This window comes from Homo sapiens, chromosome 15, assembly GCF_000001405.40.
Source record: "Homo sapiens chromosome 15, GRCh38.p14 Primary Assembly".
In the NCBI taxonomy this organism is placed as follows: Eukaryota; Metazoa; Chordata; class Mammalia; order Primates; family Hominidae; genus Homo; species Homo sapiens.
Genome location: NC_000015.10, coordinates 43,457,996 through 43,473,452, shown reverse-complemented (window position 1 = coordinate 43,473,452; position 15,457 = coordinate 43,457,996). Strand labels below are relative to the sequence as shown.

The 15,457-nt window shown below is 39.7% G+C and overlaps 1 protein-coding gene across 11 annotated transcripts in view; it reads left to right on the top strand.

Annotated features, from left to right (window-relative positions):
• TP53BP1 (tumor protein p53 binding protein 1) overlaps positions 1-15,457 on the top strand; it is a 107,580-nt gene that overhangs the window by 37,188 nt on the left and 54,935 nt on the right. For all 11 annotated transcript variants that reach the window (XR_007064488.1, NM_005657.4, NM_001411050.1 and 8 more), the window contains one exon: positions 3,387-3,595. Coding sequence is in view for 9 of the 11 variants with exons in the window: in NM_005657.4 (NP_005648.1) it covers positions 3,387-3,595 (209 nt within the window). In the remaining 2 variants the exon portion in view is untranslated. The remainder of the gene's footprint in view (positions 1-3,386; positions 3,596-15,457) is intronic.

The window sequence follows — 15,457 nt, the reverse complement described above, 5'->3', positions numbered from 1 at the left end:
AGAACCTTTGTGTGGACACTCTGTATCTAGCTAATCTGGTGGGGACGTGGAGAACCTTTGTGTCTAGCTCAGGGATTGTAAATGCACCAATCAGCCCCCTGTCAGCACAGACCACTGGCTCTACCAATCAGCAGGATGTGGGTGGGGCTAGATAAGAGAATAAAAGCAGGCTGCCCGAGCCAGCAGTGGCAACCCGCTCGGGTCCCCTTCCACAGTGTGGAAGCTTTGTTCTTTCACTCTTTGCAATAAATCTTGCTACTGCTCACTCTTTGGGTCCACGCTGCTTTTATGAGCTGTAACACTCACTGCGAGGTCTGTAGCTTCACTCCTAAAGCCAGCGAGACCACGAGCCCACTGGGAGGAACGAACAACTCTAGACGCGCTGCCTTAAGAGCTGTAATACTCACCGCGAAGGTCTGCAGCTTCACTCCTGAACCAGCGAGACCACGAACCCACCAGAAGGAAGAAACTCCGAACACATCTGAACATCAGAAGGGACAGACTCGAGACGCGCCACCTTAAGAGCTGTAACTCTCACCGTGAGGGTCCGCGGCTTCATTCTTGACGTCAGTGAGACCAAGAACCCACCAATTCTGGACACACCATCCCCCATTCTTTGCTTTTCTAGCACTAATTCTATTGAGATTTCTGTATTGGCTCAATTTTTAAAAAGGCTCTGAAGGAAAAATTTTTGTTTTTAAAGTTGAACTGAAATGAATTAGTATGGGGAAGAACTGGACTTATTAATAATGGCCTACTTGTTTCTAGCAACACGTGAACACATTTCTGGTGAGAAGGAACCAGCAATTGTTTCTTGTGGTCCTTATAGGTTATTTTTGCTATTAAAATAGTTTTAGCATAAGAATGGTTAAGAGTAGGTGGTAAAAATTTTAACTTCATTCATTTACTCCTTTGACGACTTAGAGATTTTATATTACTTTATTCACAAGAAAGCTTTCCTTTTCACTTACCTAATTTATCTCATTATTTAAGCTTCTTTTGCTCTGACCTAGTCTCCTATCCAGTCATTCAAGATGTTTCTAAGTTCTTACGATTTCTACAAAGCTTTTTCTAATAAATTCTATGATTTTCATCTTTTCACTCTTTCATATACAAGTAATGGTATAATAGTTTTATTTATTGAGCACTTAGTATAGGCAAGGCATTGTTCTAAGGGCATTTCTGTGGTTTTTCTCATTGAATCCTCACAAACATCCTAAGAAGGAGGTGTTATTTTTATCCCCATTTTACAGATGAGGAAATGGAGGCATAGAGAGATTTTTCAACTAATGAGATGTAGAAGCAGAATTTGAACTCAGGCAGCTGCCTCCAGAGCCTGTGCCTTCATCTGTCATGTATATGCCTCCTATTATATCCTTTCTCTGCTCTTGAGTAACATAAAACATAGACATTTAACAGTTTTTCAAATGTAATTTATCAGTGATAGAATTTGATCTTAGGCTTTCTTCTGCTACAAAGTTTGTCTCTGGCTGTTTCTCTTAAAATCAGTTGTAGGTATCCAAATTGACTAATATCAATCTAAGCATAACATGATTAGTGACTGATATCAATCTAAGTATAACATGATTAGGTGAATTAATTCTACAAAAACCCAGGTAATACAAGTGAAGTTTGGTTAATTCTTAAAACAGTTTCTTTTATCTTTTATCTGTAGTGTGAACATTGAAAAAATATAAAAATAATTATATTAAATATACTTTCTCAGGCTGGGCACGGTGTCTCACACCTGTAATCCCAATACTTTGGGAGGCCAAGGTGGGCAGATCACCTGAGGTCAGGAGTTTGAGACCAGCCTGGCCACCATGGTGAAACCCCATCTCTACTAAAAATATAAAAAATTAACTGGGTGTGGTGGCGGGTGCCTGTAATCCCAGCTACTCAGGAGGCTGAGGCAGGAGAATCACTTGAACCTGGGAGGCGGAGGTTGCAGTGAGCCAAGGTGGCACCACTGCGTCGCAGCCTGGACAACAGAGCGAGACCCTGTCTCAAAAAAAAAAAAGCTTTCTCCCTGATTGTAAACAGTCAATATTTATTGTAGAAAGTTTGTTAAGTATATAGGAAATTAATGAAAATAAAAATCACCTGTGATACTACACTCCAGATATAGCTACAACTAGTATATTTGGATATATTTCAGTTTTCAATGCATAAAGTAGTTTTACATAATTGGCATGTTGTGTATATGACTCAGTTTTTTTTTTTTATGTAACAGTGTATTTTCCCTTGTCAGTTATATTTTAGATTTAATGCATTTGCTTAATATGTATGTACATCAGTGTTTGTGAAACTATATGTGCTTTTTGTATTTATTTGTTTTTTTGCTTTTCTCTTAACCTAAAGCCTTTTTTGTATGTAGTGCCTATAACAGCAGGTTTTTAATGTGCTTTGTCATGGCAAGAAAGTTCAAAAGGTGCAACAAAAATACTTAGCACAGCTATGGTAGTATATTAAAGGCCTGTAGCACTGGATCCCAAATTAGGTGTAGACTGGTAAGGTTGAGACTAAGCTAAGCAGCAAAGCTGGGTATTGAGGTTGCAGTTTGGGTAGCTGGTAGCATGAATGTGAATTATGGGGAAAAGGTAAATGTTGTTAGTAGTTTGTGAGTGGTCTAGAGGAAGCCTGGTTGGGGTCAAGTTGTAAGATAGGGGATACAAATGATGAATCAAATACTTAGCTAGCTGGGCTGACTCCAAGCAAGTTCCTGATAGCCTACAGGTGGGTAGTATACTATGGGAAAGCAGTGTTTTGTGTTTTGTGTGTGTGTGTTCCCTCCTAATGTGTGTCAGGATTAGTGTCTTCTCTTTCTTAGTTCTTTGATAAATCAGTGCTGATTGGCATTGATAGATTTTTTTTCTTCATCTGTATTTGTACAGGCATCCATCTCTCTGCAGTTAGCAATTGTTAATGCAAATATAATCAGTTCGTAAATATGAATTATAGATACTGTATTTACCTAAAGTGGTGACAAATTCACTGTCTTTCAAGGCCTGTGGTAGAATATATGATGGTTAAATTAGGTACCAGTAGTTTGGGCTTTTCTACAGGAAATGTGAAAAACTGAGCTATAAAATCAGGAAAGGAGCCAAGTTAATTTAACATTTTTTATGAATGGGTGGGTAGCCCCAGATGCATCCAGTTTTGATCTATACCTAAAAATAGGAGCTTGGACTGCTCCGCCAACCAAAGGAAGTATTGGTAGATTGCTAGGACCCAGTCTACTATTATTCTGTCAGCTTTTCTGAAAAATTACGTCACTATTTTTTTAGAGTGAAAATGTCTGTAGTGTAATTGTTCTTAGTGGTTTTGGAACATGAGTAATATTGATGAGTGATATTTCTCAATTTGTTTCTCCTGTTTTAAACCAGATAAGCCAATGGACACGTCAGTGTTATCTGAAGAAGGAGGAGAGCCTTTTCAGAAGAAACTTCAAAGTGGTGAACCAGTGGAGTTAGAAAACCCCCCTCTCCTGCCTGAGTCCACTGTATCACCACAAGCCTCAACACCAATATCTCAGAGCACACCAGTCTTCCCTCCTGGGTCACTTCCTATCCCATCCCAGCCTCAGTTTTCTCATGTGAGTATTGTAAAAAGAGTTGTTTCTCCTAACATATTTTTTTAAAGCAGCATTATTGGGGTATAATTTACATACCATAAAATTCACACGTTTTAAATGTATAATTTTGTGATATTTTAGTAAATTTACAGAGTTGTGAAGCTGTCGTCACAAAGCAGTTTTAGAACAGTTCCAAAGTCACCTAACATCTTGATTTTTTTTTATGTTTAAACTTTTTACAATGTCTTTAAACTTTTTGAAAATGTTACTGCAAAATTGCGAAGTGACATAAATCATTATTCTACTTTAACACAACTGTTACTGTAATTTTTGTCTTTCTACATGCTTATGGTTTTTTTTAATAAATTTTTTTGCCTATGACACAGCCTCAGGAGGTCCTGACGATATGTGCCCCCACATGCTTATGTTTTTTAAAAAAGGTGTTTATATAGCACAACTTTAATTTTCTTTTTCCAGTTAATGTTGTGTCGTAATAATTCTCAGTGTTATATTGTCTTCACTTATCCTTTCAAAAGTCATGTATTATTTCTCTAAGTAGATGTGATCTCAGTACAGGATCATCCTATACTTAGGGTATCAAGATGGTTTTTAGTTTTCCAATGTGTATTTTCTTCTAAAAGCGAGGGAAAACTATTAATTTGTATAATTTTAAATTTAAATATTTAAAGAAATGAAATTCAGGTTTCATACTGAGTTGAAAATCCTTAAATCTAAATGACTATTATATATTCAATCTAAATACCTATTCTTATAAGACCTTAAGTGGGGGAATTATTGTAGTTTTATTGGGACAACTTATTTTACCCCTTTCAGTTTGCAGGTGTTATAACAAGAGTTTGTATTTAAAAGTAAAATTTGAAAATGAATAGTAATGAACTGTAAATTTAGTGAGGAGGGGACAGTAGGAAGAAATTGATTTGTTTTCTGGAGTTTTAAAACTTGTTTTGTTAAAGGATTTCATTTTATGCAGTTCATTAGAATTTGGTAGCGTTATTAAAAATGAGGACTCTAGAGTCAGAACTTCCTGGACTCGCTCCTGGCTCTGTCATTACTACCTTTGTGACCAATTGAAATTGAATCTTAGTTTGCTCATCAGTCAAATGATGGGGATATTGATACTGTCTACCTCGTAGGATGTTTATGAAAGGTTGAGTTAATATATATAAAATGCTTAGACTAGTGCCTTGCACTTGGTACTGCATATAAGGGTAGCTGTTGTTGGCAGTGAAAGGGTTAAAAACAAGGTTACCTAGAGGTGAAATGGATGTTCGAACCATACATCATTTTCTTTAGCTTTTTTTTTTTTTTTTTGAGACAGGATCTTGGTCTGTTGCCCAGGCTGGAGTGCAGTGGTGCGACCATGGCTCACTGCAGCCTTGACTTCCCAGTCTCAAGTGATCCTCCCACCTCAGCATCCCAAGTAGCTGGAACTACAGGCACATGGCACCATGCCCAACTAATTTCTTAATTTTTCTTATAGAGACGGGGTATCACTATGTTGCCAGGGCTGTTCTTAAACTCTTGGGCTCAAGCAATCCTCCTCTCTCAGCCTCCCAGTGTGTTGAGATTACAGGTGTGGGCCACCGTACCTGGCCTTCTTTAGCTTTTATTTTTCTAAGTTATATGTGAACATAGCTGGGCATGGTGGGGCATGCCTGTAATCTCAGCTGCTCAGGAGATTGAGGTGGGAGGAGCATTTGAACCTAGGAGTTTGAGAACAGCTTGGGCAAAATAGCAAGACCCTGTCTCAAAAAAAAAAAAAGTTATAAATCTGACCAGGTGTGGTGGCTCATGCCTGTAATCCCAGCACTTTGGGAGGCCGAGGCAGGCGGATCACTTGAGACCAGGAGTTCAAGACCAGCATGGCCAGCACAGTGAAACCCAGTCTCTACCAAAAAATACAAAAATTAGCCAGGCATGCTGGCACGCACCTGTAGTCCCAGCTATTTGGAAGGCTGAGGCAGGAGAATCGCTTGAACCTAGGAGGCAGAGGTTACAGTGAGCTGAGATCGCGCCACTGCACTGCAGCCTGGGCAACAGTGAGGCCCTGTCTTAAAAAAAAAAAAAAAGAGTTTAAGAATGAGCTATAAACACTGACACAGAGCACTGAGAAGATTCTTCCAACACTGATTTAAAGAAAATGGTTACAGATGTTTATCAGTGACCAAACGAGACTTTTATGGTCTTTGGAAAGGTATTCCTGCTGGTTGGGGGGGTGGAGATGATGCCTGGCCACAAAGGGAGAATGGACGTTTTGAAAAACAAGGCACTGTTGAAGGAATTGCTCTATTTTCAACATTTACCAAAGACCTTCAGAATTAGCTAAAAAATCAGCAATGAAAATTTGAGACAAATGAGTGATTCTGAACATAGTTCAGAGATTCTTGGAACCTAAGATGACTCTAATCAGGTTTCTTTGAACTCATATTTTATAAGATGCCTTAGCCAGTGCAGTCCATGCCTCCTGAAAAGTCTCTCAAGAATACCTTTAGTAGGCCGGGCGCAGTAGCCCACACCTATAATTGCAGCACTTTGGGAGGCCGAGGTGGGAGGATCACGTGAGCCCAGGAGTTTGAGAACAGCCTGGGCAACATAGCGAGACCCCATTTCTACAAATGGTCAAAAATAGCCAGGAGTGGTGGTGTGTGCCTGTAGTCCCAGCTGCTCAGGAGGCTGAGGCAGGAGAATTGCCTGGAGAATTGCTTGAATCTGGGAAGTTGAGGCTGCAGTGAGCCATGATCATGCCACAGCACTCAGCTTGAGCAACAGAGTGAGACCTTGTCTCAAAAAAAAAAAAGAATACCTTTACAACATAGCTTTTAAGTTAAAGATTTGATTTTACTTAATAAGCATGTGTAAAACCCCAAAAATAAGTCAGATAGTTAAAACAAGGCCTCTTCCTCTTCCTACCCAAAGATAACCACTTTTCGTTCTTTATGCTTTTTCTTTTGGTATTTACCTCCATAATTCTACATAGCATGATTATATTTTCTTTTTCTTAGGCACAGGGTCTTGACCTGTTGCTCAGGCTGGAATGCAGTGGAGCAATCATAGCTCACTGTAACCTCGAACTTCTGTACTCAGGCCATCCTCCCACCTCGGCCTCCTGAGTAGCTAGGACTAGTGGCACACACTATCACACCTGGCTAATTAAAAATTTTTTTGTAGAGATGGGACCTCACTATGTTGCCCAGGCTGGTCTTGAACTACTGGGCTCAAGCAGACCTCCTGCCTTGGCCTCCCAAAATGCTGGGATTACATACAGATGTGAGCTACCGTGCCCAGCCTATTTTCATAAAAAAATTTTAGCCATTTTCCAAGTATAGTTACATCGTAATTTTGTTTAGATTATTACTGAGTTTACATTATAACTATGTAAACAATTCACAGCAGAGCCTATGACATATTATTAATAGTTTTTCATGTTTCTTTTCTCTGAAATTGTAATTGTCTTTTTTTATTTGTTTAGTTTTCTTTGACTCTCATTAAATCAACCCTAGATTCTCCACCAATTGTCAGAAACTCCTTTCAGGATGTTGAGGAGCCTTAGACTTTCTGTTTCATCTTTTTGGAGAAACCTCTTTTGGACCCTCCTGATTTCTAATCTGTACTGTTGCCCTCTATGCCTGGTGCATAACTGTTAACCTCCGTTCACTGTCATCCGTGGAGATTCTCCTTACCTGTCTGTGTTGGATACCTCTTGGGTTTCATATCTTCTTGCTTGGTTTACTCCCTCATTTTGGTGGGGGACATTGTTTAGTAGCCTTTATTCTGCTATCACACTTGATTTGTAGTTTGCAGGAGTATAGAATTCTAGATTGGAAATAATTTTCCTTTAAAGATTTTGAAGGCATTGCTCTTTTGTCTTCCAACTTCCAGTGCTGCTGTTAAGTGTGAGGGTCAGGTCAGCCATGGTGGCTCATGCCTGTAATCTTAGCACTTTGGGAGGCTAAGGTGGGAGGATCACTTGAAGCCAGGAGTTTGAGACCAGCCTGGGCAACATGGCCAGACCCTGTCTGTACCAAAACAAAACAAAACAACAACAACAACAACAACAAAAAACAAAACAGTGTGAAGGCAGTCTGATCTTGACTTTTAATAGGTGATCTGGTTTTTCTTTACTGGAATCCTGTAGGATTTTCTCTTCGTTCCCAGTGTTCTGAAATTTCCAGACCTTTGGGATACGTCTATTTTCATTCATTGTATTGGGTACTTGGCAGGCCCTCTCAATTTAGAAACTCAGGTCCTTCAGTTCAAAGAAATTTATTTCTTTAATTTCTTCCCCTTTGTTTTCTCTGTTCTTCTTCTTTTTTTAATGGACTATCTGTTGTTTGGATGTTGAAACTCCTAGAATAGTCTTCTAATTTTATTTTGCCTCCTACTTTTGATCATCTCTGTCTCTTTTAGTTCAACTTGCTGGGTGATTTCTTCAATCATTAAAAAAACAGTGGCTATATTGAGATGTAATTCACATACCATTCAGTTTACCCATTTAAAGTGCACAATCCAGTGGTTTTTAGTATATTCATAGAGTTGTGCAACCATCACCATGATCTAATTTCAGAATAGTTTCATCACCTCCTCAAAACCCATGCCCTTTAGCACTCACTCAACATTTCTTCTACCCTCGGCCCTTCGAGGGTAGTCTACTTTCTGTCTCTATAGATTTGTAGACACCAGTCTACAAATGGAAAGTAGACACCAGTCTACTTTCTGTCTCTATAGATTTGCCTATTCTGGACATTTCATATAAATGGAATTATAAAATATATAGCCTTTGTGAATGGCTTCTTTCATTTAGCATAATGTTTTCAGGATTCACCTGTGTTGTAGCATGTATCAGATTTTCATTCCTTTTTTTGTATTGATCTATCCTTGTCTATAAAAAATATAAAGGAAAAAAGAATTTCATTCCTTTTTTATTTATTTATTTATTTATTTTTCTTTTTGAGATGGAGTTTCGTACTTGTTGCCCATGCTGGAGTGCAATGGCATGATCTTGGCTCACTGCAACCTTCGCCTCCCAGGTTCAAGCGATTCTCCTGCCTTAGCCTCCTGAGTAGCTGGGATTACAGGCATGCACCACCATGCCTGGCAAATTTTGTATTTTTTTTTTAGTAGAGACGGGGTTTCTCCATGTTGGTCAGGCTGGTCTTGAACTCCCGACCTCAGGTGATCCGCCTGTCTCGGCCTCCCAAAGTGCTGGGATTACAGGCATGAGCCACCACGCCTGGCCTTCATTCCTTTTTATTGCTGAATAATACAATTGTGTGGATATACCACAGTTACTCATGGATTCGTCAGTTGATGGACGTTTGGGTTGTTTCCCCTTTTGGCTATTGTGAATAATGCTGCTATGTACATTTATGGACAAGTTTGTGTGTGAACATGGTTTTATTTCTCTTATGTATACCTACAGGTGCCATTGCCCAGTTCAACCATCTTTTAATTCTTCTCTTAGTTATTAATTTCTACTCTTGGGTTTTTAATTTCTAAATTCTTTTTTCAGAATATATTTTTAAATACCATTTCTCTTGTTTTATTGATATACTATCTTATCTCTGTAACAGTATTAATAACAGTTTTCTTCTGTCTGGAATAGTCCTATTTCTTCCAGGTGGACTTTAGTTTTGTTTGTTTTGATCTCTTTCAAATTAGAGGCTTTCCTCAGATGTCTGGTAATCTTTGATTATTTGCTGATGTTCAAGAGTGAAATATCAGACAGATGATTAGTAGTTCTGAGTGGGTGGTTGGGTCTTATTGTTTTTGGGATTTGCTGTAATGTGATCCGCTGAGACATTTTATTGGGAGTCCCATAATGTCAGTATCTTGATTCATCTTGGCCTGGTCAGATCCCTTAGGAAAATGTCTGATCTCCTATTTGCAGGGTATTGGCCTGGCTGTACTAGAGGTCTATTAATGGAAGCGGGCTTTGGGTGGGAAGGGGGGTTGGGAGGCAGGTGCAGGTTTCATTCAATATGTAGATTTTCATTTAATCTCCGTATTTTCAGTATTGTACTTCCTGATAACTGTGCCTCTTGTCTGCCAGTCCTGGGACACTCTGTTTTACTCTCTCCAGGGCAGAGGAGGGGCAGGGTGAGATTATGGGTGTTGGAACTGTGGTGTAACTCTGGTGGTTTGTTGGCTTTCTCCACTGCTGGCTTAGGAATTCAGCTTTCACTCTTCTGCTAAATAGATTACCTTTTCCAGATTTTTTTTGCAGTTCTCTTTTCTTCTGTTCTCTTTTTCTTGAAGTTTTGTGCTTAAGAAAAATCCCTTTACCATTACTTAATGGGATTTCAGAAAACTCTGAATATGTGTATATTTAGTTCTCCATTTCTATTAAGTTCCCTACTTTTTTCATTATATGTCAAACTTATTCTTGTTATTCTTAATGGGTAACCCTTGTTCATCTGTTATTTCTTTTGTACCTTGGTTACTGGAGTCCAAGTCAACCTAATTTTGATGTTGTAAGATTTAAATATGTGTAAAGAGATTAGTACTATTCAAGAGAAAATTGGGATAAAGGTAATTTTGTCTATTTTTTTCTTTCTTTCCTAATAAACTTGTCAATTGCATAGCCTCTTTGACCCTTTACCAAGATATGAGGGATGGGGAGAGGATTAGTAGAACACAGTTTGATAGTTAACATTTTCTCATTCTTGATATATGTATTAATTTTGGTGAGGACAAATTAGACAATTAAATGTTTTCAAACTAGAATAGTGGTGGTGGTGGCATAACATTGTAAATGCACCAAATGCCATTGAATTATTTTATTTTTGTTTTTGTGTTTTTTTTGAGATGGAGTCTCACTCTGTCGCCCAGGCTGGAGTGCAGTGGCATGATCTCAGCTCACTGCAACCTCCTCCTCCTGAGTTCAAGTGATTCTCCTGCCTCAGCACCCCAAGTAACTGGGACAAAAAGTGCACACCACCATGCCCAGCTAATGTTTGTATTTTTAGTAGAGATGGGGTTTCACCATGTTGGCCAGGCTGTTCTCAAACTTCTGACCTTAAGTGATCTGCCTGCCTTGGCCTCCCAAAGTGCTGGAATTACAGGCATGAGCCACCACGCCTGGCCTGAATTGTTTAGTTTAAAATGGGTTAATTTTATATTGTGAGTTTCATTTAAAAAAAGGTATTTATAGCTTTACGTTAGTGATGTTTTATCTATGAGACTTTGTAAAATGACTTATTTTTTGCAACAAGGGAAAAAATACATATGTCTTGCAGAAGATGTGGTCATGCTTGGTGGCTTACACCTGTAATACCAGTGCTTTGGGAGGCCAAGGTGGGAGGATAGCTTGAGCTAGGAGTGTGACAGCAGCCTGGGCAACATAGTGAGGCCCCCGTCTCTACCCACCAAAAGAAAAAAAAAATTAGCCGGATGTGGTGACGTGTGCCTGTAGTCCCAGCTCCTGGTGCTGGGGAGCAGTATGAGCGGGGAAGATTGCTTGAGTTCAGGTGTTTGAAGCTGCAGTGAACTATGATTGTGCCACTGCCCTCTGGCCTGGGTGACAAAGCAAGACCCCATCTTGAAGAAAAGAAAAAAGAGAAGATAAGATCATTAGTTATTCTACCTCAGAAATAACAACTCTTAGCTTTTTTTTTTTTTTTTTTTTTTTTTTTTTTTTTTTTTGAGATGAAGTCTCGCTCTCCACGTGTCTGGCAAATTTTTGTGTTTTTAGTAGAGATGGGGTTTCACCTTGTTGGTCAGGCTGGTCTCGAACTCCTGACCTCAGGTGATCCACCTGCCTCAGCCTCCCAATGTGCTGGGATTACAGGTGTAAGCCATCACACCTGGCCCTCTTAGCTTTTTTTGATATATGTTTATTAACTAAAATTACATGAAGATTATATATTATAAAATGTGTAAAAAGAGTAGAATGGCCAGGTTCTGTGGCTCACGCTTGTAATCCCAGCTTTGGGAGGCCGAGGCAGACCAATCACTTGAGGTCAGGAGTTTGAGACCGGCCTGGCCAACACGGTGAAACCCCATCTCTACTAAAAAGTACAAAAATTAGCCGGGTGTGGTGGCGGGCACCTGTAATCCCAGTTACTCTGGAGGCTGAGGCAGGAAAATCACTTGAACCTGGGAGGTGGAGGTTGCAGTGAGCGGAGATGGTGCCACTGCACTTCAGCCTGGGTGACAGAACAAGACTGTGTCTCAAAAAAAAAAAAATATAATGTATATCCACATAATTTTTTACTAAAATAGAAACTTCTTTCTATAGCCCAAATGTTTTTTGATCTTTTAGTATTCTTCTACTGTATACTTTTATGTAGACCACAAAACATTCTATCATGTGATAGATCACAATTTAAAAATTATTATCTTGGCCGGACGAGGTAGCTCATGCCCGTAATCCCAGCACTCTGGGAGTTCGAGGTGGGCAGATTGCTTGAACCTAGGAGTTCAGGATCAGCCTGGGCAACATGGCAAAATCTCGTCTCTACAAAAAATACTAAAAAATTAGGTGTGGTGGTGTGTGCCTGTATTCCCAGCTACTCGGGAGGCTGAGGTAAGAGAATCACTTGAGCCTAGGAGGTCAAGACTGCAGTGAGCCATGATCGCATTACTGCACTCCAGCCTGGGCAACAGAGCAAGACCTGTCTCAAAAAAAAAATAAAATAAAATTCCTATTTGTAACCATTTAAGGTATTTCATATTGTTTCCTATTCTAAATAATAATATAGCAGTGAACCATTTTGTAGCTAAGTATTAGTGTGCTTTCATTGATTAATTTCCCAGAAATGGAATTATTGGATTATGGGGTATAGAATTTCAGGGCTGTTGTGTTTTGCTAAATTGCCATTTAGAAATGTTGAACCTTTTTTTTTTTTTTCCTTTTGAGGCAGGGTCTTACTCTGTTGTACAGGCTGGAGTGCAGTGGCACAATCACACTGCTCACTGCAGCCTTAACCATCCAGGCTCCCAAGTAGCTGTGACCACAGACGTGTGCCACCACACTCAGCTAATGTTTTTTTTTTTTTTGGTAGAGACAGGGTCTCACTTTGTTGCGCAGGCTTATCTCAAACTCCTGGGCTCAAGTAATCCTTCTGCCTCGGCCTTCCAAAGTGTTGGGATTATAAGTTAGAGCCACTGCATCTGGCTTGAACCAGTTTATACTCAGTCATGTCTGAGAGTATATGAACAGATTCAAACTTAGGATCATTGTTACAATCTGATAGGATAAACAATAATACCAGACATTGAAATATCAGAAGTTATGGAATATACAGAATGCTTTACTACCCATTTGATTCCTCATTCCCTTAAAAATCATAGGAAAAAAAGCCTGAGCGTGGTGGCTCATGCCTGTAATCCTAGCAGTTTGGGAGGCTAAGCTGGGCAGATTGCTCAAGCCCAGGATTTTGAAACAAGCCTGGGCAACAAAATGAGACCCTCTCTACAAAAAATACAAAAATTACCTGGCTCTGGTGGTGCGCACCTGTAGTTCCAGCTACTCGGGAGACTGAGGTGGGAGGATCAGTTGAGTCCAAGACATTAAGGCTGCAATGAGCCGTGATTAAGCCACTGCACTCCAGCCTGGCTGGCAGAGCGAGACCTTGTCTCAAAACAAAACAAAACAAAACAAAACATAGGAAATGAATGCCTAACCATCTATGTTGGGAGTTTTACATCATTTACATTAGGCAAAATAACACACTAAATGTAAAATCTCTTATAAAAACAGCTAAGTTTTGTATTAATTTCTCTTTTTAAAAATATTGAAGTATTGGTTACATAAAATAAAATTATTTTACGTGTATGTTTTGATGAATTTTGGCAAATGTATACAGCTGTGTAACCATCACCACCATCAAAGTAGAGAGCAGTTCCCTCACCCTAAAAAGTTTCCTTATAACCTTTTGTGGTTGATCTCCCTGCTGCCCAGTATACTCCCTTCTCCCGCCCTAGGCAATCACACATCAGCTTTCTGTCAGTATAGTTTTGGTATTTCAGTAGTTTCAAGTCTGGGCAATATAGCAGGATCCCATTTCTAAAAGACATTTTAAAAATTACCTGGGTGTTGTGGCGCCCACCTGTATTCCCAGCTACTTGGGAGGCTGAGGTGAGAGATTGCTTGAGCCCAGGAAATTGAGGCTGCAGTGAGCTGTGATCTCACCACTGCACTCCAGAGCCTAGGCAACAGAGTGAAGCCTTGTCTTTAAAAAAAAAAAAGAAAAAAAAGAATTTCATGCAATTGGAATCAGGAAGTGTGTGTGGTCTTTTATTTTTGAGCTCTTTTACTTAGCATATTTTTGAGATTTGCTTGTATTATACATATTCATATTTTATTCCATTTATATTGTTGGATAGTGTTCCATAATATGTGTATCCACAATTTGTTTATTCATTCACCAATTGATAGGACATTTGGTTCTAGTTTTTGGTTATTTTGAATAATCTATTCAATTATAATTAATATATGACCATTATATGAGTGAATATATGAATAATTTCCCATGAATTTATGAATAATAATCCTATGATCATTTGCACATCTTTTTTTTGGAGACAGACTCTCGCTCTGTCGCTGAGGCTGGAGTGCAGTGGCGTGATTTTGCCTCACTGCAACCTCTGCCTCCTGGGTTCAAGCAATTCTCGTGCCTCAGCCTCTGGGTAGCTGGGATCACAGGTGTGCACCACCATGCCCAGCTAATTTTTGTATTTTTAGTAGGGGCGGGATTTCACCATGTTGGCCAGGCTGACCTCGAACTCCTGGCCTCAAGAGATCTGCCTGTCTTGGCCTCCCAAAGTGCTGAGAATACAAATGTGAGCCACTGTGCCTGGCCAGCATGCACATCTTACGAATAATAATTCTGTGATCATTTGGATGCACATCTTTCTGTGGGCACATATTTTTATTTTTCTTGGGTAAATGCCTACAAGCAGAATGCCTAGGTTATATAGTAATGAATGTTCAACTTTATAAGATACTGCCATACTGTTTTTCCAAAGTGGGTGTAACATTTTGCATTCCCAGCAGCAATGTACGAGAGTTGCAGTTGTTCAACATCGTTGCTAATCCTGGGTTTTGTGAACCTTTTTTTTTTTGTCTTTTTTTGGGACAGAGTCTTTCTCTGTCACCCAGGCTAGTGTACAGTGAGTGGTACAATAATAGCTCACTGCAGCCTTGAACTCCTGTGGCTCAAGGATCCTGCTGCCTCAGCCTCCCGAGTAGCTGGGACTGTAGGGACACAATACCATGCCTGGCTAATTTTTAAAGTTTCTGTAGACATGGGGTGTAGCCATGTTGTCCAGGCTGGTCTTGAACTCCTGGGCTTAAGCAGTTTTCCCACCTCAGCCTCCCCAAAGTGCTGGGATTACAGGTGTGAGCCACCATCCCTGGCTGAGCCACGATGCCTGACTGTTTTGTGAACTATTTTAACATTAGTTTGCTTTTTTTTTTTGAGATATAGTCTCACTTGTTGCCCAGGCTGGAGTACAATGTCACGATCTCAGCTCACTGCAACCTCTGCCTTCTGCCTCCTGGGTTCAAGTGATTCTCCTGCCTCAGCCTTGTGAGTAGCTGGGACTACAGGTGCACGCCACCATGCCCGGCTAATTTTTGTATTTTTAGTAGAGATGGGGTTTCACCATGTTGGCCAGGTTGGTCTCGAACTTCTGACGTCAGGTGATCCGCCTGCCTTGGCCTACTAAAGTGCTGGGATTACAGGTGTGAGCCACCGTGCCTGGCCTATGTTAGTTGCTTTTGTTGCGTGTAGTGGTATTTCATTGTGATTTTAATTTGTATTTCTCTGTTGACTATTGATATTTTGTAAGCTTTGGATTTTATTTATTATTATTAGTATTATTATTACTATTTTTTGAGATGGAGTCTTGCTCTGTAAT